Below are 18,190 nucleotides of genomic sequence, written 5' to 3' on the forward strand. Positions count from 1 at the left end.
TGGTCTCAAACTCCTGAACTCAAGCTGAGGCAGAAATTAAAGAAAGAAAGAAAAAATAAAATTAAAAAAGAGAAATAAACTTTCCTGTATTAGGCTGACTTGACCCAGAGGCAGCAACAGGCACAGGCCAGACCCAAGAAAAGTCTTGATAATACTATCTAATGTGCCCTGAAGACTCTCCCAGTACTCCCTCAACATAAGGAAGAGAAAAACAAATTTTCCTTTGTCTTATAGTATAAGTTTATAGATTCCTGTTCTCTGTAACTAGTAACTTCAAGTATTCTGTTTTACCTAAACAGTACAGTGAAAGTCATGAGACATCTGAGCAGGCCTAAGCTATAGCCACCTAGGTGCCATAGTGAATGTCACAGAATAAGCCGTGCTAGGCACTAAGGCAAACCTAGATAACAGCCATCTAGATTGCATAGCAACAGTCATGTGTAATCCTGAGTTATGCACCTATCACAGTTTGATTAACTGTCTTTGTTCTGCCTCTGTATTCTTGCTTTCGCACCACCATAAGTTTGTTTCAGGCTAGCCCACCCCCTTTTTGAAGGGTATTTAACAGTCAAGTGCTGTCTTTGTTCTTAGCCCAGTTTTTTAGATGTTAAGTCTGCTAGGTCTGAGTGCACTCAATAAAGATCCTCCTGCTTTACCCCGAAGTCTGTCTAGTCCTCCTGATTTCTGCAACAAAGCGATCCATCCAACTTGACCTCCCAAAGTGCTAGGATTACAGGTATGAACTACCACACCCAGCCAACTCTATTTGTTTTATACATACACAGACTCACACACATACACAGCATCATAATCTACTGATGTTATTTTACCAAGTTTTCTGAGTAAGACTGCCTCTTTCCTGGTCTTTGGCTAGAGAGAACAAGCCTTTGTTGGGTTTTTTTGTCTGCACACATTGGCATTTCTAGGTTGACAGCTTCTTCAGCTCCAATTCTGAGATCTATGTGGCAAAAAGAAAACCCAGGGAACTCACCACCATGTCAGTCCTTGTGTACTGAGGTCCCCAGCCAGTTTGCCATTTTTCCCTCTACCTTTCCAAGTCTTCTTATGTTTATTTTATATATAATGTCCAAGGTTTTTAGTTGCACTTAGTGGGAGACATAGGGAGAAGTACATCTACTCCATTTTCCCTCCTGGTTTTACTTTTGATCTAACATAGAATCTTAAGTTGAATTTTCTGTCTTTTTAAAAAAATTATTCCAAGTAGCCAGGCGCGGTGGCTCACGCCTGTAATCCCAGCACTTTGGGAGGCCAAGGCGGGCAGATCACGAGGTCAGGAGTTTGAGACCAGCCCGACCAACATGGCGAAACCCTGTCTCTACTGAAAATACAAAAATTAGCTGGGCGTTGTGGCGGGTGCCTGTAATCACAGCTACTCAGGAGATTGAGGCAGGAGAATCACTTGAACCCAGGAGGCGGAGGTTGCAGTGAGCCAAGATTGTGCCATTGCACTCCAGCCTGGGTAACAGAGCGAGACTCTGTCTCAAAAAAAAAACAAACAAACTATTCCAAGTATACCTATGACACTGATTCAGACCACTGGATCCAGCCTTCGAATTTACCCGAGAGGAAGTGGGTTCATGGCTGGACTGTCATGGAGTTTCAGGCCAGGGCTTTTATGCTGCACACTCATCTTTTTCCCTGTGTCTTTCAATTATTCTCCTTTGTTTTCATTGTTTTCAGAGAGCTGCTTCTAGTAGAGACTTCTCAGCCACAAGATGGTGCCCCAGAATAGTTCAAGATAGGCTTTTCTGCTCTTCTTTGGGCCCCAGTCTTTAATGTACTATTAGTAAACTCAAGGCCATTTATCTGAACCAGGATATAGCTATGAAGACACAACTGTATTATCTTAAGCCATGTTTTCCCAGTTGCCTGAAAACTTAAGCAATCAGTATCAGAAATAGTTTTTGTTTGAATTTTTTTTATAATTTTATTATTATTATTATTATTTAGAGATGGGGTCTTGCTGTGTTGCCCAGGCTGGTCCCGAACTCCTGGCCTCAAGCAGTCCTCCTGCCTCAGCATCCCAAAGTGCTGGGATTACAGGCCTGAGCCACCAGACCCAGCCTATGTCTTTTGAGCTATTTGAATCCATGAATCAAAGTTTACTAGTGTAGATGTTTGCCTTTTATTACTAGCCCAACTTTTAAAATAGCTTATAAGATTATGTTTAAAAATACATAGAATAACTTTCTTTGCCATGTCTACTGAGAGAACGAAGACCATTCTCAGCAACCAGACTGTCAACATTCCAGAAAATGGTGACATTACTCTGAAGGGACACACAGTTACTGTGAAAGGCCCCAGAGGAACCCTGCAGAGGGATTTCAATCACATCAGTGTAGATTCAGTCTTCTTGGAAAGAAAGAAAAGAGGCTCCAGGTTGATAAATGGTGGGGAAACTGAAAGGAACTGGCTGCCGTTCAGACTATTTGTAGTCATGTACAGAACATGATCAAGGGTGTTACACTGGGCTTCCATTACAGGATGAGGTCTGTGTATGCTCACTTCCCCATCAATGTCGTTATCCAGGAGAATGGGTCTCTTGTTGAAATCTGAAATTTCTTGGGTGAAAAATACATCCTCAGGGTTCGGATGAGAACAGGTGTTGCTTGTTCAGTATCTCAAGCCCAGAAAGATGAATTAATCCTTGAAGGTAATGACATTGAGCTTGTTTCCAATTTAGAGGCTTTGATTCAGCAAGCCACGACAGTTAAAAACAAGGATATCAGGAAATTTTTGGATGGTATCTATGTCTCTGAAAAAGGAACTGTTCAGCCGGCTGATGAATAAGATCTAAGAGTTGTCCAGCTTCTGAAACAAGATGCCGGATGATTCCTAAGACCTATTTGTGATGTTTAAATGATGCAAAAGACCTATTGATTTGGAAAGAAAAATAAAATAAAAATACATAGGACAGAAAGACTGGTAAATAGACATTAACAATCTTTGGGTAGTGAGCTGTGAGTCATTTGTTCTTTCATTTTTCAAGTTTTCAAATATGAGCTACTTTATGATGGATGAAAATGGATGTTGGGCATATTCTTCAGCTAATCAGAAAATATTTATTAACGAAAAAATATATTTATGACCCATCCAATGTGTGTAGAGCCAGCATATATGTTTTCTTAGTCTTGATAGTTACATAAGAAAATATTGGGGGCTGGGCACGGTGGCTCACGCCTGTAATCCCAGCACTTTGCTAGGCTGAGGTGGGTGGATCACCTGAGGTCAGGAGTTTGAGACCAGCCTGGCCAACATGGTGAAACTCCGTCTCTACTAAAAATACAAAAATTAGCCAGGCATGGGTGGCAGGTGCCTGTAATCCAAGGTACTCAGGAGGCTGAGGTAGGAGAATCGCTTGAACCTGGGAGGCAGAGGTTGCAGTGAACTGAAATTGTGCCACTGCACTCCAGCCTGGGTGACAGAGCAAGACTCTGTCTCAAAAAAAATAATAATAATAATATTGGGTACTCCGTTACTAAAGGCAGGGACTATGGCTTAAAATCCTGCAGCTGTGATACCTACCATGTGCCTTACACATAGAGAGGTCTAGGAAATAACTGCTTGAGCACAGAAACCATTATTCCTAGCTTTGAAGGAAAGAACTATATTTTACTAGTTGTAAATCTTTGAGTTTGGTGTCCTCAAGGTAATTACCTGCTTGAGTGTTAGCTCACATGAAGTGGGCAAGTTGTGTCCATTCTTTTTTTTTTTTAGAGATGGTGTCTCACTCTGTTGCCCAGGATTGCAGTGGTACGATTGTAGCTCACTGTAGCCTTGAACTCCTCAAGCAATCCTCCTGCCTCAGCCTCTCATGTAGCCAGGATCACAGGTGCATGCCACCATGCCTGGCTAATTTTTATTTTATTTATTCATTCATTCATTCATTCATTTTTTTTGAGATGGAATCTTGCTCTGTCACCCAGGCTGGAGTGCAGTGGTGTGATCTCAGCTCATGGCAACCTCCACCCCACGGATTCAAGCAATTCTCCTGCCTCAGCCTCCCCAGTAGCTGGGATTACAAACATGCATCACCACGCCCAGCTAATTTTTGTATTTTTAGTAGAGATGGGGCCATGTTGGCTAGGCTAGTCTTAAACTCCTGAGTCAAGTGATCTGCCCACCTTGGCCTCCCAAGGTGCTGGGATTACAGGTGAGAGCCACCGTGCCTGGCCTAATTTTTTTTTTTTTAATAGAGACGAGGTCTTGCTATGTTGTCCAGGCTGGTCTAAAACTTCTTGCCTCAAGCAGTCCTCCAGTCTCATCCTCCCACAGTGCCGAAGTTACAGATGTGAGCCACCATACCCGGCCCATTCTATGTCTTAATTATAGAACTAATAATTAGGGATAAAAAAGCCAACTACTCCTTACTGAAATAAGATTAGCAATGGAGTGGACAAAAATTCAATATCAGTCCAAAGCAATAAACAGTAATATTTTTAAAATTCAGCTGGCCAGGCACAGTGGCTCACGCCTGTAATCCCAACACTTTGGGAGCCGAGGCGGTTGGATCACAAGGTCAGGAGTTCCAGACCAGCCTGGCCATTATGGTGAAACCCCGTCTCTGCTAAAAATACAAAAATTAGCCAGGCATGATGGCGTGTGCCTGTAGTCCCACCTACTCTGGAAGTGCCACCACTTGTGTGGCAGAAGACTTGTTTGAACCCAGGAGGTGGAGGTTGCAGTGAACTGAGATCGCGCCACTGCCCTCCAGCCTGGGCAACAGAGCAAGACTTCGTCTCAAAAATAAAAAATAAATAAATAAAAAATAAAAAAATTCAGCCCTCGATAATTCATTATTAGATCATCAGAGTCAACGTGTATATTGGATATAACAGGTACGAATGTAATATTTGATAGCTGATTAAATAAATGAATTCATTTTATTGATGATAGGACTTTAAGTAATGTCCTGAAAATCTACAGAGGAGGAACTTATGAGTAAAGAGAAGCTAGACTAAAATAAATACCTTTTCCAACCAAGACCCAAGAAAATAAAGGATTTCTGCAAGACCTTTCAACTTGTGATTTTTGTGGGCCCACCAATTCTCATAAAGATCTTTTATATTTCTGATACATGATTATATAATACAAGTTATAATTTTTTCAGCTTTTGTTTTACTTAGTAATATCCATTTATAGCTTAGTTTAATAGGTGGTACATAAAAGTAATTTATGTACTTTTCCTTATGAAAAATTGAGTATAGGCAAGCTCACCAAAGTACTAGACTTCTAAAACCCAAGTCTAGACCTTTGAGGAGTTCATGTGCACACAATGAAGTGGAGGCCAGTGGGAAGTGGAGAGAATGGGGATAAAGTAACTGACTGGAAAGTAGGCTACAGGGTAGAAATCGACAGATCTTTAGTAGAAAAGGGGATTTCAATGAAAGGAGGCAGTATTAGCAATAAAGTCATAACATAGAAAAGTCACTGTCTAGTCTAATCATTTACAAACTTAAAAAGAAGTAGAAGCTTTTATTCAAATCAAAACTTATGTAGAATACCAATATGATAAATATATAAAGGTTGAGCCGTTTGGGTCGAAACAAGGTTTGACATGTATAGGAAACAAAATCCCATCCCTCTTGAGCCTCTCTATCTCTATCCTAGTGGGCCCTAGAGAGCACAGTTTAAAACAGCTGAACTAGGCTGGGTGCAGTGGCTCACACCTGTAATCCAGGTGCTTTGGGACGCCAAGGCAGGAGAATTTCTTGAGGCCAGAAGTTCAAGACCAGCCTGGGCAGGATCGTGAGATCCCATCTCTACCAAAAAAAAAAAAAAAAAAATTAGGCCAGGCATGGTGGCTCATGCCTGTAATCCCAGCACTTTGGGAGGCTGAAGCGGGTGGGTCACCTGAGGTCAGGAGTTCGAGACCAGCCTGACCAACATGGTGAAACCCCGTCTCTACTAAAAATACAAAATTAGTTGGCTGTGGTGGCGCATGCCTGTAATCCCAGCTACTTGGGAGGCTGAGGCAGGAGAATCACTTGAACCCAGGAGGGAGAGGTTGCAGTGAGCTGAGATCTCGCCATTGTACTCCAGCCTGGGCAACAAGAGTGAAACTCTGTCTCAAAAAAAAAAAAAAAAAATTAGCCAGACGTGGTGCACGTCTGTGGTCCCAACTACTCAGGAGGCTGAAGTGGGAGGATTGCTTGAGCCCAGGAATTCAAGGCTGCAGTGAGCTATGATTGCACCTGTGCACTCCAGTCTGGACAGCAGAATGAGATCCTGTCCCACACACAAAAATAAAGAAACCCCCCCCTGCAATGTAGCCTGACCAGCAGGCAGATGTTAGACATTAATGTGTAATAGGGAAGCATTTTCCTCAGGCTTTCAAAGATGGGAAATTATTGTGGATTGTTTTCTTACCCCCTACCAGAAAAGAGTGCTTCACCATTGAGGTGGCCTGCTGGAAAAATCACTCCACTAATTTGAGAGTCTTCCCTTGAACTTTTGTGGTTCTGGCTTTGTGTTTTTTAGCTCTTGAATGTCGTCTCTCAACTAGCCAAACGGAATCTGCGACTGCTGGTCCTAGGCCGGAAGCACATGCTAAGACGGAGTTCCCAGTGGAGTCGGGATGAGATGGAAGAGGTGCAAAAGCAAGCCAGCTGTTTTTTTGCTGATGACATGTAAGTGTTGGAGGTAATAGGTGAATTATACTGTGCTGCAGACATCTATCTGCTTGTTAGTTACCTACTTTAAACCTATCTTTTAAATGCATGTGTATGTGTATACTCACCCTCATTAAAAAAAAAAAAAGATTTGAGACAACTTACAAAACTACGGTTTCTTCTAAAAAAGAAAAACACTACAGTTTCTACGGCAGGATAAACTTAAACAGATGAGGAAATCAGGATAAAGGAGAAGTGGAGGGAAGTTAAGTCAGGAGTGAGATTAGTACACCGAATACATGCCATAAGATCCTAAGTAGATCATTTAGCAAATACTTGACAAACAGGAGCACCTTCTATGTTCTTGGAGAAAGAGCAGTGAAAAAGACAAAGTCCCTGCCCTCTTAGAATTTACAATAAACAGATAAACAAACAGGTAATGTCATTCCAGGCAGTGATTAGTACTATGGGGACAATAAAGCAAGGTAGATAGAATTTAGGTAAGGGATAGGTCAGAGGGTTGTGAATGGGGTGGTCAGGAACAGCCTTTCTGAGGGGGCAGATTCGATGAGGAGTGAGTTATTTGAGAAATGGGGAGAGGTGGTGGGAAGACCATCCCAAATAATACGAAATATTTAAAAAGCCCCGATGCAGGCCGGGCTCAGCCTGTAATCCCAACACTTTGGGAGGCCGAGGCGGGCAGATCACGAGGTCAGGAGATCAAGACCATCCTGGCTAACGGTGAAACCTCATCTCTACTAAAAATACAAAAAATTAACCGGGCATGGTGGCGGGCGCCTGTAGTCCCAGATACTGAGGAGGCTGAGGCAGGAGAATGGCGTGAACCCGGGAGGCGGAGCTTGCAGTGAGCCGAGATCGCGCCACTGCACTCCAGCCTGGGCAACAGTGCGAGGCTCCATCTCAAAAAAAAAAGGAGCCCAAAGGAGCCCTGAGGCAGGCATAAGCTTGGCATGTGTTTGAGGAAAGCAACACGGCCAGTTGGGCTATAATAGCAAGAGGGAAAGTAATAAGCTCTGAGATTAGAGAGAAGGCAGAAACCGCAATGCAGAGGACCTTGCAGATCCTGGTAGACAAGCAAGAGGCCTAGATTTTATTCTAAGTGTAGGGAGAAAATTGCTGTTGAGCTGCAGCTTCCCAGGAAGCCAAAGGAACCATGGTAAACATGGTCAGTAACAAAACCTACAGTAAGCCAGCCACAGTGGCTCATGTCTATAATCCCAGCACTTTGGGAAGCCAAGGCAGGCAGATCACTCAAGATCAGGAGTTTGAGACCAGCCTGGCCAACATAGTGAACCCCATCTCTACTAAAAATACGATTAGCCAGATGTGGTGGCACACGCCTTGTAGTCCCAGGTACTCGGGAGGCTGAGGCAGCAGAATCACTTGAACCTGGAAAGCCGAGGTTGCAGTGAGCCAAGATCGTGCCACTGCACTCCAGCCTGGGTTACGGAGTGAGACTGTCTCAAAAAAAAAAAAAAAAAAAAACAACCCACAAACCTACAGTAGCCATAAAGTAAGAAGAAAATAGCTAATTAGGAGGAGTACAGATCCGCAACAGCACATATGAACTCAATGCACTGTTGTGCATTGAGGTTTTCATATTGTTTGTGCTAACAAAAGTTTATTTCCAACTTTGCTTAATGAGTGTATATGCCTCAGCCCCAAATCTAGGTTTCATAGTCTGAATGTGATAACTTCAAGATTTGTCAGTATTCTCCAAATCATTTATTTTATTGAGACGGAGTCTCACTGGGTCACCCAGGCTGGAGTACAGTGGCACAATCTTTGCTCATGGCAACCTCCACCTCCCGGGTTCAAGCGATTCTCCTGCCTCAGCCTCCCAAGTAGTTGGGATTACAGGCACCCGCCACCATGCCCAACTAATTTTTGTATTTTTAGTGGAGATGGGGTTTCACCATGTTGGCCAGGCTGGTCTCGAACTCCTGACCTCATGATCCACCCACCTCAGCCTCCCAAAGTGCTAGGATTACAGGCATGAGCCACCTCGCCTGGCCCCCAAATCATTTATTATTTAAAAAGTACAGTAGCTCTCAATCATAAAGCAAGGGAGAAGCAAACCTCTCATCCAGTTCCCAAACCACATCCCTTCTTTTTTTAGCTGGAAGATGGTGCTTCCATTTCTCCAAGAGCAGAAGACCTAATGGCAACATTGGGTAGACAGTAAGATTGTAGGCTTGGGAATTAGTTTACCCAGGTTGAGATCATGGCCCTGCCACTCCCTGTCTGGGAAAGGTTTTTCCTTTCTCTCTGTCTTCCTTATCTCTTGTGTAACTTTTATGGGGTTGTTTTAAGGATTAAATAAGATAATATGTGTAAATAACTCATGTAAAACTCTTGGCATAGCACCAAGTACATGGAAAACATATATGTTAGTTGCTGTCATGATCATTATTATTTTCCTTATATGGAAAAATTAGATAAATTTGAAGTGTTATGACCAAGAAGCCTGTTGGAAAGTGGTCTCACTGCTTGGTTTGGGGTCTGTATTTATTGCATCAGCTGAAATTCCAAACTCAGTTGTAACGATCAATTCACTGACCTTCTTTGTCGCTTTGGATTTGAATATTTAAGTGTTTAACATTAAATCTGTTTTCCACTAATGTGCCAAAGAAGCTTTTCAAACATACACTAGAGAGAATAATATAGTGAATAGTGAGTCCTCATGTAACTGTCACCCGGCTCCAACAATTACCATCATTTTGCTAATTTTGTTCCATAAACCGAATACATTTTTTCTTTTTCTTTTTTTTCTGGAGAGTTATAAGGCAAATTTTGTCATTTTATCATTTCACTTGAAATACTTCAGGATAAAGAAAACTTTAAATGGTCCTATTTAGGGTCATTTGAATCAAGGCATAGGGCATATCACAAGTTGCTGTCTGAATCTCCTAAAGCAAGGTCGTTACTGCCATTTTTACAGCACATTTATTAAAATAATAAGTGCTAAGGTTGATGGTCTGTTGGAGGCTTTGAGTCACTGGCTCTTACCAAAGAAGATGTTTTGGGGTGCTGATCCAGGTGACTGTCTAGAAGCTGCTCTGAAATACCAGTTCAGCTTTAGGGGCAGCCAGTTATTTGGTGGCTTGCAAGAAAGTCTCATCCTGCCCTAGTAGTATTTTGGGTGTTTCTTGAATTTGGGTGAAGAGAGAGGGAAAAGGTGTGCTCTGTGATAGATAAGGCAAATAGGAAAAATGCCCAAAGAGAAGCAACTTTTAAGTGTGAAGAGAGCATTGTTAGAATTCATCGTTCTAGTGGAAGAGTCCAGTGAGCTGTGAGAATCCCAGGCATTAGCATTCTGTTCCCCTCAGCTTTCCATCTGTGTTCTAGATAGTATTGCTTACCAGCTAAGGACTTTGAGGTGGTTCTTAAGTATTACTAGCATCATGTTGGTCAAGAAATCAGAGGCACCTCCAAGGAAAGTAAGTAAAAAGTACGGTGAAAAACACTGTCCTCTGCCTCTTCAGCTGTGCTTGATTGTGTCCTTTCTTATGCCTGGTTCAGCTCGGAGGATGATCCATTCCTTCTGTATGCCACACTGCACTCCGGGAATCACTGCAGGTTTATCACAAGAGACCTGATGCGGGACCACAAGGCCTGTCTGCCTGATGCCAAGACCCAACGCCTGTTTTTTAAGTGGCAGCAGGGACATCAGCTGGCAATTGTAAATAGGTTTCCAGGATCAAAACTAACCTTTCAGGTAATGGTACCTGTTCTTTATGTAATATTAACAGAGTCAAGTATACAGTAAGAATGTGGCATAGAAAAAGAGTGTCACAACTAATTGAAGGTTGCAAATGCTTTATTTTTCTCAGTTTTAGGTTAGTATTTGGAACTAGCCAGGTCCTAGAAAGAGTCTGCTAGAGTTTTCATAGGCCAACCTCAAATTAATTAAAACACTTAGGGGCCAGGCGCAGTGGCTCACACCTGTAATCCCAGCACTTTGGGAGGCCGAGGTGGGCAAATCATGAGGTCAGGAGATCGAGACCATCCTGGCTAACACGGTGAAACCCCGTCTCTACTAAAAGTACAAAAAAAAAATTAGCCAGGCGTGGTGGCGGGTGCCTGTAATCCCAGCTACTTGGGAGGCTGAGGCAGGAGAATGTCATGAACCCTGGAGACAGAGCTTGCAGTGAGCCGAGATCACGCCACTGCACTCCAGCCTGGGCGACAGAGCAAGACTCCGTCTCAAAAACAAAAAACAACATTTAGGATATACCAGTTTTGACTTCAATTAATTATGTCACAAATTATGACTTCTTTTTTTTTTTTTTTTTTTTGAGACGGAATCTCACTCTGTCGCCCAGGCTGGAGTGCAGTGGTGCAATCTCAGCTCACTACAGCCTCCGCCTCCCAGGTTCAAGCGATCCTCCTGCCTCAGCCTCCCAAGTAGCTGGGACTATGGGCACATGCCACCACGCCGAGCTAATTTTTGTATTTTTAGTAGAGGTGGGGTTTCACCATGTTGGTCAGGCTGGTCTTGAACTCCTGAGCTCATAATCCACCCACCTCAGCCTCCCAAAGTGCTGGGATTACAGGCGTGAGCCACCATACCCGGCCATAAATTATAACTTCTTACATGTGTTTTTTATTTTTGTTTATTTGCAATAGCTCAAATTCTTTATTTCTTATAGTTTGTTATACTTCTGCTAAGTAATTTGTTTTCCCTGTTTAATTCATTTCTATGACAGTCTCAATTGAATTCTCCTTTGATTCTAGTTAAGATATCTATAATATAAGGACACATCTTGTGTGAAAGCAAAGGGAGAGAATCCAAAGTGAGTTATTACAGAAAAGTACACTGGCCCGTGGTATAATAAATAAGGTTCAATTATCAAAAAATATTGGCTGGGCGTGATGGCTCACACCTGTAATCTCAACACTTTGGGAGGCCAAGGCAGGTGGATCACTTGAGGGCAGGAGTTGAAGACCAGCCTAGCCAACATAGCGAAAACCTCATCTCTACTAAAAATACAAAAATTAGCCAGGCGTGGTGGCGTGTGCCTATAATCCCAGCTACGTGGGAGGCTAAGGTACAAGAATCGCTTGAACCTGGGAGGCAAAGGTTTCAGTGAGCCAAGATTGTGCCACTGCTATCCAGCCTGGGTGACAGAGCGAGACTCCGTCTCAAAAAAAACAAAAAAAAACAACAAAAAAAAAACGGAGATGTTGGTCAAAGGAGAAAAAATTTCAGTTAGATAAGAGGAATACGTTCCATGATGACTGTAGTTAATAATAACAATGTGTTGTATCATTGAAAATTGCTAAGAGTAGATTTTAAATGTTCTCACCACAAAAATTGTAAGTATATAAGGTAATGCTCATGTTAATGAGCTCAATTTAGCTATTCTACAATGTATGCATATTTCAAAAACATGCTATACATGATAAATATGTATAATTGTTATTCGTCAATTTAAAAATAAGTAAGAAAGGCTGGGTGCAGTGGCTCACTTGTGTAATCCCAGCACTTTGGGAGGCCGAAGCAGGAGGATTGCCTGAGCCTAGGAGTTTAAGACTAGCCTGGGCAACATGGTAAGACCATGTCTCTATAAAAGTAAGTAAATAAGAATATCCAAAACAATAAATTTATAGTAAATGTGGTATTAAATGATACCATAGTGATTCAAGATATAGTTGAAGAACTATTAATTCTTAAGTATAATAAAGGTATAAAGGTATTGATCTTACATTTATAAAATAAGACCTTATTTCTTAGAGATACATACTGAAGTATTACAGAAGAAATTACATATCTGAGATGGGAGGGCAGCGTATGGATGAAATAAGACTAGAGATGAATTGATAATGGCTGAAGCTAGGTGATGAGTACATGAGAGTTCATTATAGCATTTCTCTACTTTTGTTTACATTTGTCCCTTGGTATCCATGAGGAATTGGTTTCAGGACCTCTCACAGATACTAAAATCCTCAAATGCTCAAGTCCCTTATATAAAATGGCATAGTATTTGCATATAACCTACACACATCCTCCTGTGTACTTTGAATCATCTAGATTATTTATAATACCTAATACAATGTAAATGCTATATAAATAGTTGTTTCTGTATCTTTTAGGGAATAATGCCAAGAAGAAAAAAAGTCTGTACATGTTCAGAACACAGTTTTTTGTTGTTGTTGTTGTTTTGTTTTGTTTCGTTTTGTTTTCATATATTTTCAATCTGTGGTTGTTTGCCAGGGATACAGAACCTGCAGTTGTGGAAGGCTGACTGGATTTGAAATTTTTCACTCTCACACACAAAACTGATAGAGCCAACAAAAGAACGTCTGTATTACATAAATGTAATGCTTCTACAGAGAGTCTTTAGACTTAAAAATGAGACCCCTCAAAAAAAGGAACTCCTAATATTAGGGCTCATCTTCACAGAGTTTGCTGCTGTTTGAAAATCCATTATTAAGTGAGATAATCCATTATCAATACTCTTCTGGAGCAAACTTGAGAAGTGTCAGAAAGAGAAATGGCCAAGTAGCCCTTTAGTGTTGTTCTCAATGTTTTGTTCTCTTTTTAATTCAACAGCGTATTCTCAGCTATGACACAGTGGTGCAAACAACTGGAGACTCGTGGCACATACCATATGATGAAGACTTGGTAGAAAGATGTTCCTGTGAAGTACCAACCAAATGGCTTTGCCTCCACCAAAAGACATAGAGATTCTTACCTCTATGCTAAGTTTGTGTTTGGGTACCCTCTAGGTTGGCATCAGAGGCTCTTGAGCTGGTGTTTGTTTAGGGCATTGCCTCTGTCCTGAAGATAAAAGGATTCTATTAACAGCATTGACATTGATTTTTTAATGAAATGAGATATATCTTTTCATAACCAGCTGCGTTTTTTTCCCCTAACATTTGTTTTTGGAGGCTTATCAAGAGTTGGAGAACTTAGTGTAGAGCAAAACCTGCATTTCTCCTACTGGGCCAGCTATTCCACTTAGCTTGGGTGACTAATAGTGCTTTTGGTATCCATTTTTTGCTACTTCTGACCTTGCCTTCCAGGCCTACCAATAGCAGAATCAATCCATCTGTCCCTGAGATACTCATGTTGTTTCAAATGCCTCCTCCCATTTCTGGCATAGTCTCATTCTCTGTATGTTATGCCCTATCCACATGGAATCATTTATCGTCCTCTGTAATAAACTGGCCAAGATACTAAAGGCTTACTATTCATAGCAGTTTTTAATTACTTATCATCCAATTATTTGGATTGGAGAAGAGGGGGCATTCACTCCTCTTTTTCTTATTTTTTTTGGAAATAGAGTCTCAACTTACTCTGTCGCCAGGGCTGGAGTGCAGTGACGTGATCACAGTTCACTGCAGCCTCAAACTCCCAGGCTCAAGCAATCTTCCTACCTCAGCCCTCCTGAGTAATTGGGACTACAGGCATGTATCACCAGGCTTGGCTAATTTTTTTTTTTTTTTTTGTAGAGATGGCTGTCTCACTCTGTTGACAAGACTAGTCTCCAACCCCTGGCCTCAGTCGATCCCCAGCAATTTGGGAGATTGAAGCGAGAGAATCACTTGAGTCTAGGAGTTCAAGACCAGCCTAGGCAACATAGTAAGATCTCATTTCTACAAAAAATTTAAAAATTAGCCAGGCATGGTAGTTTGCACACATAGTCCCAGCTACTTTGGGGGCTGAGGTAGGAGGATTGCTTGAGCCTCAGAGGTCAAGGCTGCAATGAGCCAACGTTGCACCACTGCACTCTAGCCTGGGTGACAGAGCGAGACCTTGTCTCAAAACAAAACAAAGTGCTGGAATTGCAGACTTGAGCCACAGTGCCCAGCCTCACTTCTCTAGACTATGATGGTTTTTTCTTCATTCTATAATCTCTTTTCCAAATTGGTTCAACATTTTGTGAACACTATTAATTTCATCATTCAGTATATGTGGGCTTTCTAAAATATGCCAATTTTTTTCCACTTAATCAAGTTTGACTTAATTTAACAAAGTGATTATATTTTAATAGTTACATTTCTGTTTTTTCCACTCACTAGCCAGCTTACAGTTTATTAGCCCTTGATTTCAGCTGAAAATATTCATGTCTGCACCCCTTCATGATAGTTCTTTCTTTACGTATACATACTGTATTCAATATGCAAGAACAGGCAAAAACTACTCTATTGTGATAAAAATCAGAATAGTAATTGCCTGAGGAAAGGGATATGAGAGAACTTGAGAGAACTTTCTCGGGGTGATGGAAAGTTTCTTATATTGATTTGGGTAATAGTAACATAGCTATATGTATATATTAGTTAAAATTCCTCACACTAAACATTTTAAATTGATATATTTACATTTATGACAATATACCTCAAAGTAAGTTAGGGTAAGAAAAGATAATTACTTACATGAAATAAACAATGACCTCTTTTATATCAAACCATATACATGTGTATAATTAGGGTATGTATTATGCACAGAGAAACAATTTAGGAAAATCCAAGGAGGGGACGTTTTATCTTCTTACCTATTTACTGAATGCAACATTACTGCACACCAAGACAAAAGAGCTCTCCAGGAAAACATTGGATATATTGAGAGCATTAAAAGATACTGCAAAAGCTCTAATAAATTCAGTCTGCTTATTTTCCAAATTTCATAAACTACATACTTAGGAAACTGTGCTTTCAGTGAGCTAAACTTCTTTTTTTAAGTAACTATCATAGTTTTAAGAAAAACATTTTAAGAAGACAAAAAGTATTTATTAAGCCCATCTAAAAGGCTAATGCAAATTCCCAAAAAAGGAGCACATAGAGATAGAGGAGGAGGCCGAAGTGGTGGCTCATACCTGTTAATTCCAGCACTTTGGGAGGCCAAGACAGGAGGATCACTTTAGGCCCAGAGTTGGAGACCAACCTGGGCAACATAGCAAGACCCTGTCTCTTAAAAAAAAAAAAAAAAGACGGGAGAAGCTACAAGAAGAAAACTAGAACTTTAGAGCAGGAGTAACCTTAGAGCATGTAAAGTCCATTTTGGAGATGAGGAACAGACCCAGGAAGATGACCTGGCTTCCCTGAATCCCACGGCTAGTTAGTGCAGACATTTCAGCCATAACCCAGCTCTTCTAATTCCCAAATACTCTTTCTTCTACTGGCACATAGAGATGGGGGAGGAGTCAGGGCATGGTGGCCCACACCTACAGTTCCAGCACTTTGGGAGGCCAAATGGGAGAATTGCTTGAAGCCAGGAGTTGGAGACCAGCCTAGGCAACACAGGGAGACCCGTGTCGACAAAAAATTTAAAAATTAGCTGGGCATGGTAGCACATGCCTGTGGTCCCAGCTACTCAGAAGGCTGAGGTGGGAGGATCACTTGAGCCCCAGAGGTCAAGGCTACAGTGAGCTATGATCATGCTACTACACTCCAGCCTAGGTGACAGAGTGAGACCCTGTCTCAAAGGGAGGGAGGTAAGAATGAGAAGAAGGAACAGGGGTGTACCTCTTTTAAGGGCCCAAGTATCCTGAATGGCTCAGCAGTATAGAACATTGTGGTAGAGAAATTACATTTTAAAATAACTCTAATACTGTTTAGAAACAAAACCCTAACTTCTGCTTGAGATAAACTGAAGTGCATCTGTCCCTTGTCCAGGAGTGGGGAACCATTGTAGGGTTGCTCAGCATAAGTCATACTGCCACGGTGACCTTGAGGAGTGCAGGGATTCCCTGAAGGAAGCAGCTGGTACCAGACACTTAGGCTGCCCATTTGTGTTCTGATCATTTGAGTGAAAAAAAGGTACCTGTCAAGCAAGCTCCTGGACACCACAAGAAGGAGGAATTATTTTAAAAGCTGTACTCTTAAATTGTTAGTATCTTTAAAATCAGTTGTGAACAATGAAGGATTTGAAAGAGCATTGACTTTGCCACTTAAAAGTATTTCTAAAATACTTTGTGCTTCCCCCTTGCATTCTGAATTTATACACTTTTCCTCCTGCTGTTCTCAGACCCAGTGGAAAGAAAATCTCAAGGAAGAAGGCTGAGTTTATTCTCTCAGGGCTCTGTTGGGTCTACCTCATCTGAGGTGGCTTATTCTTCATAGGAAATTAATTTTTCTTCTCAAGTATGCACTTAAATATAATTACTGCTTCCTTGGTCCTCTAGCAGATTTCTCACTTTTATTTATTTTTTTTTTTGAGACAGAGTCTTGATCTTTTTTCATCTAGGCTGGAGTGCAATGGTTTGATCTCAGTTCACTGCAACCTCTGCCTCCTGGGTTCAAGCAATTCTCATGCCTCTGCCTCTCGGGCAGCTGGAATTACAGGCATGCGCCATGACGCCTGGCTAATTTTTGCATTTTTAGTAGAGACGGGTTTTCACCATGTTGCCCCGGTTGCTCTCAAACTCCTGACCTCAGGTGATCCACCCACCTCAGCCTCCCAAAGTGCTGGGATTACAGGTGTGAGTCACCCCGCACAGCCTGAAATGAGGCATCTCTATCTATAGTCCAGCAGCCCTACAGGAGGCAGGAGGGGAGCAAGAATAAGAAAGGAAATTTGTAAAAGGCACTTAGGAGTGAGCAGAAAGGAAATAGGACCAGCTTTTACCTGCCCAGTCCTGGCCAGTGACAAGCAGTCTGCTTGAGTCTGTGCTAAATAAACAAAGGAAGTTCCATTTAGAGCTCTACAGAGGGGAAGCCATAGAAATTAACAGGATGAAAATACAAGAGACAGGAACACAGATGAATAAATGTAATAAAATTTGAGAAATAATCTTTACTTTTATCATCTCCATTTATGCTTTTTCATGATGTCCTGACGTTCCCTCTCCCCAAGTTTAGTTTTTTGTTTTTGTGGGTTTTTTTGGCATTATTTGATCTGACGAGTGCTTCCAGAGGTTCTACTACATACACAACTTGCTTTTAACTGGTAATGGAAATAAACAGGAAGACAATTATCTAGTCACTGATGGCAGCTAAAAATTATTTTGCTACCAGAGTGCCCTCAGAAGTATACTCTTATCTAATGGATCGAGTTATTATGATAACTGTGGTAATTTGTTGTTATAAATAGCAGTAACATAGGAAGGTTTTGGTAACTTCTGACAAGAAATTTGATGTAGAGAGTTAATTTCGAGCACATTAAAATGACTGTCCCACTCATCTCTTCAGTGCTATTTAAAAGCCAGCCCAAGAAGCAAATACTTGAGAAATCAATAGTAGGGGCTTTAATTTTGAATATGATAGACATTAATTCATTTTAATGAGACCAGGTCAGATTGCCTCATCACTCTCAGATGGACTAGAACATTATATAGATACCAAGTTCAGTTCACATCTAAATATTTAAAGTCTACTATTAAAAGAGGTTTCCTGGCCGGGTGCAGTGACTCATGTCTGTAATCCCAGCACTTTGGGAGGCCGAGGCGGGAGGATCACCTGAGGTCAAGAGATTGATTGAGACCATCCTGGCCAACATGGTGAAACCCCGTCTCTACTAAAAATACAAAAATTAGCTGGGCATGGTGGTGTGCGCCTGTAGTCCCAGCTACTCGGGAGGCTGAGGCAGGAGA

General features: G+C 41.5%; 1 protein-coding gene, 1 long non-coding RNA gene and 1 pseudogene across 10 annotated transcripts in view; all 3 read left to right on the forward strand.

The window, feature by feature from the left end:
* PRORP (protein only RNase P catalytic subunit) overlaps positions 1–17,397 on the forward strand; it is a 155,784-nt gene extending 138,387 nt beyond the window's left edge. For 5 of the 6 annotated variants that reach the window (NM_001256680.2, NM_001256681.2, NM_014672.4 and 2 more), the window contains 3 exons: positions 6,502–6,650; positions 10,176–10,371; positions 13,210–17,397. In NM_001256680.2, the coding sequence (NP_001243609.1) occupies positions 6,502–6,650; positions 10,176–10,371; positions 13,210–13,341 (477 nt within the window). In that variant the 3' untranslated portion in view covers positions 13,342–17,397. The remainder of the gene's footprint in view (positions 1–6,501; positions 6,651–10,175; positions 10,372–13,209) is intronic. The other variant, NM_001414503.1, reaches the window with a different exon arrangement.
* PRORP-PSMA6 (PRORP-PSMA6 readthrough) overlaps positions 1–18,190 on the forward strand; it is a 195,633-nt gene that overhangs the window by 138,387 nt on the left and 39,056 nt on the right. For all 4 annotated transcript variants that reach the window (NR_182666.1, NR_182669.1, NR_182668.1 and 1 more), the window contains 3 exons: positions 6,502–6,650; positions 10,176–10,371; positions 13,210–14,066. This is a non-coding gene — a long non-coding RNA (PRORP-PSMA6 readthrough). The remainder of the gene's footprint in view (positions 1–6,501; positions 6,651–10,175; positions 10,372–13,209; positions 14,067–18,190) is intronic.
* RPL9P3 (ribosomal protein L9 pseudogene 3) lies at positions 2,208–2,907 on the forward strand (annotated as a pseudogene).

The sequence above is a fragment of the Homo sapiens genome, chromosome 14, assembly GCF_000001405.40.
Source record: "Homo sapiens chromosome 14, GRCh38.p14 Primary Assembly".
In the NCBI taxonomy this organism is placed as follows: domain Eukaryota; kingdom Metazoa; phylum Chordata; class Mammalia; order Primates; family Hominidae; genus Homo; species Homo sapiens.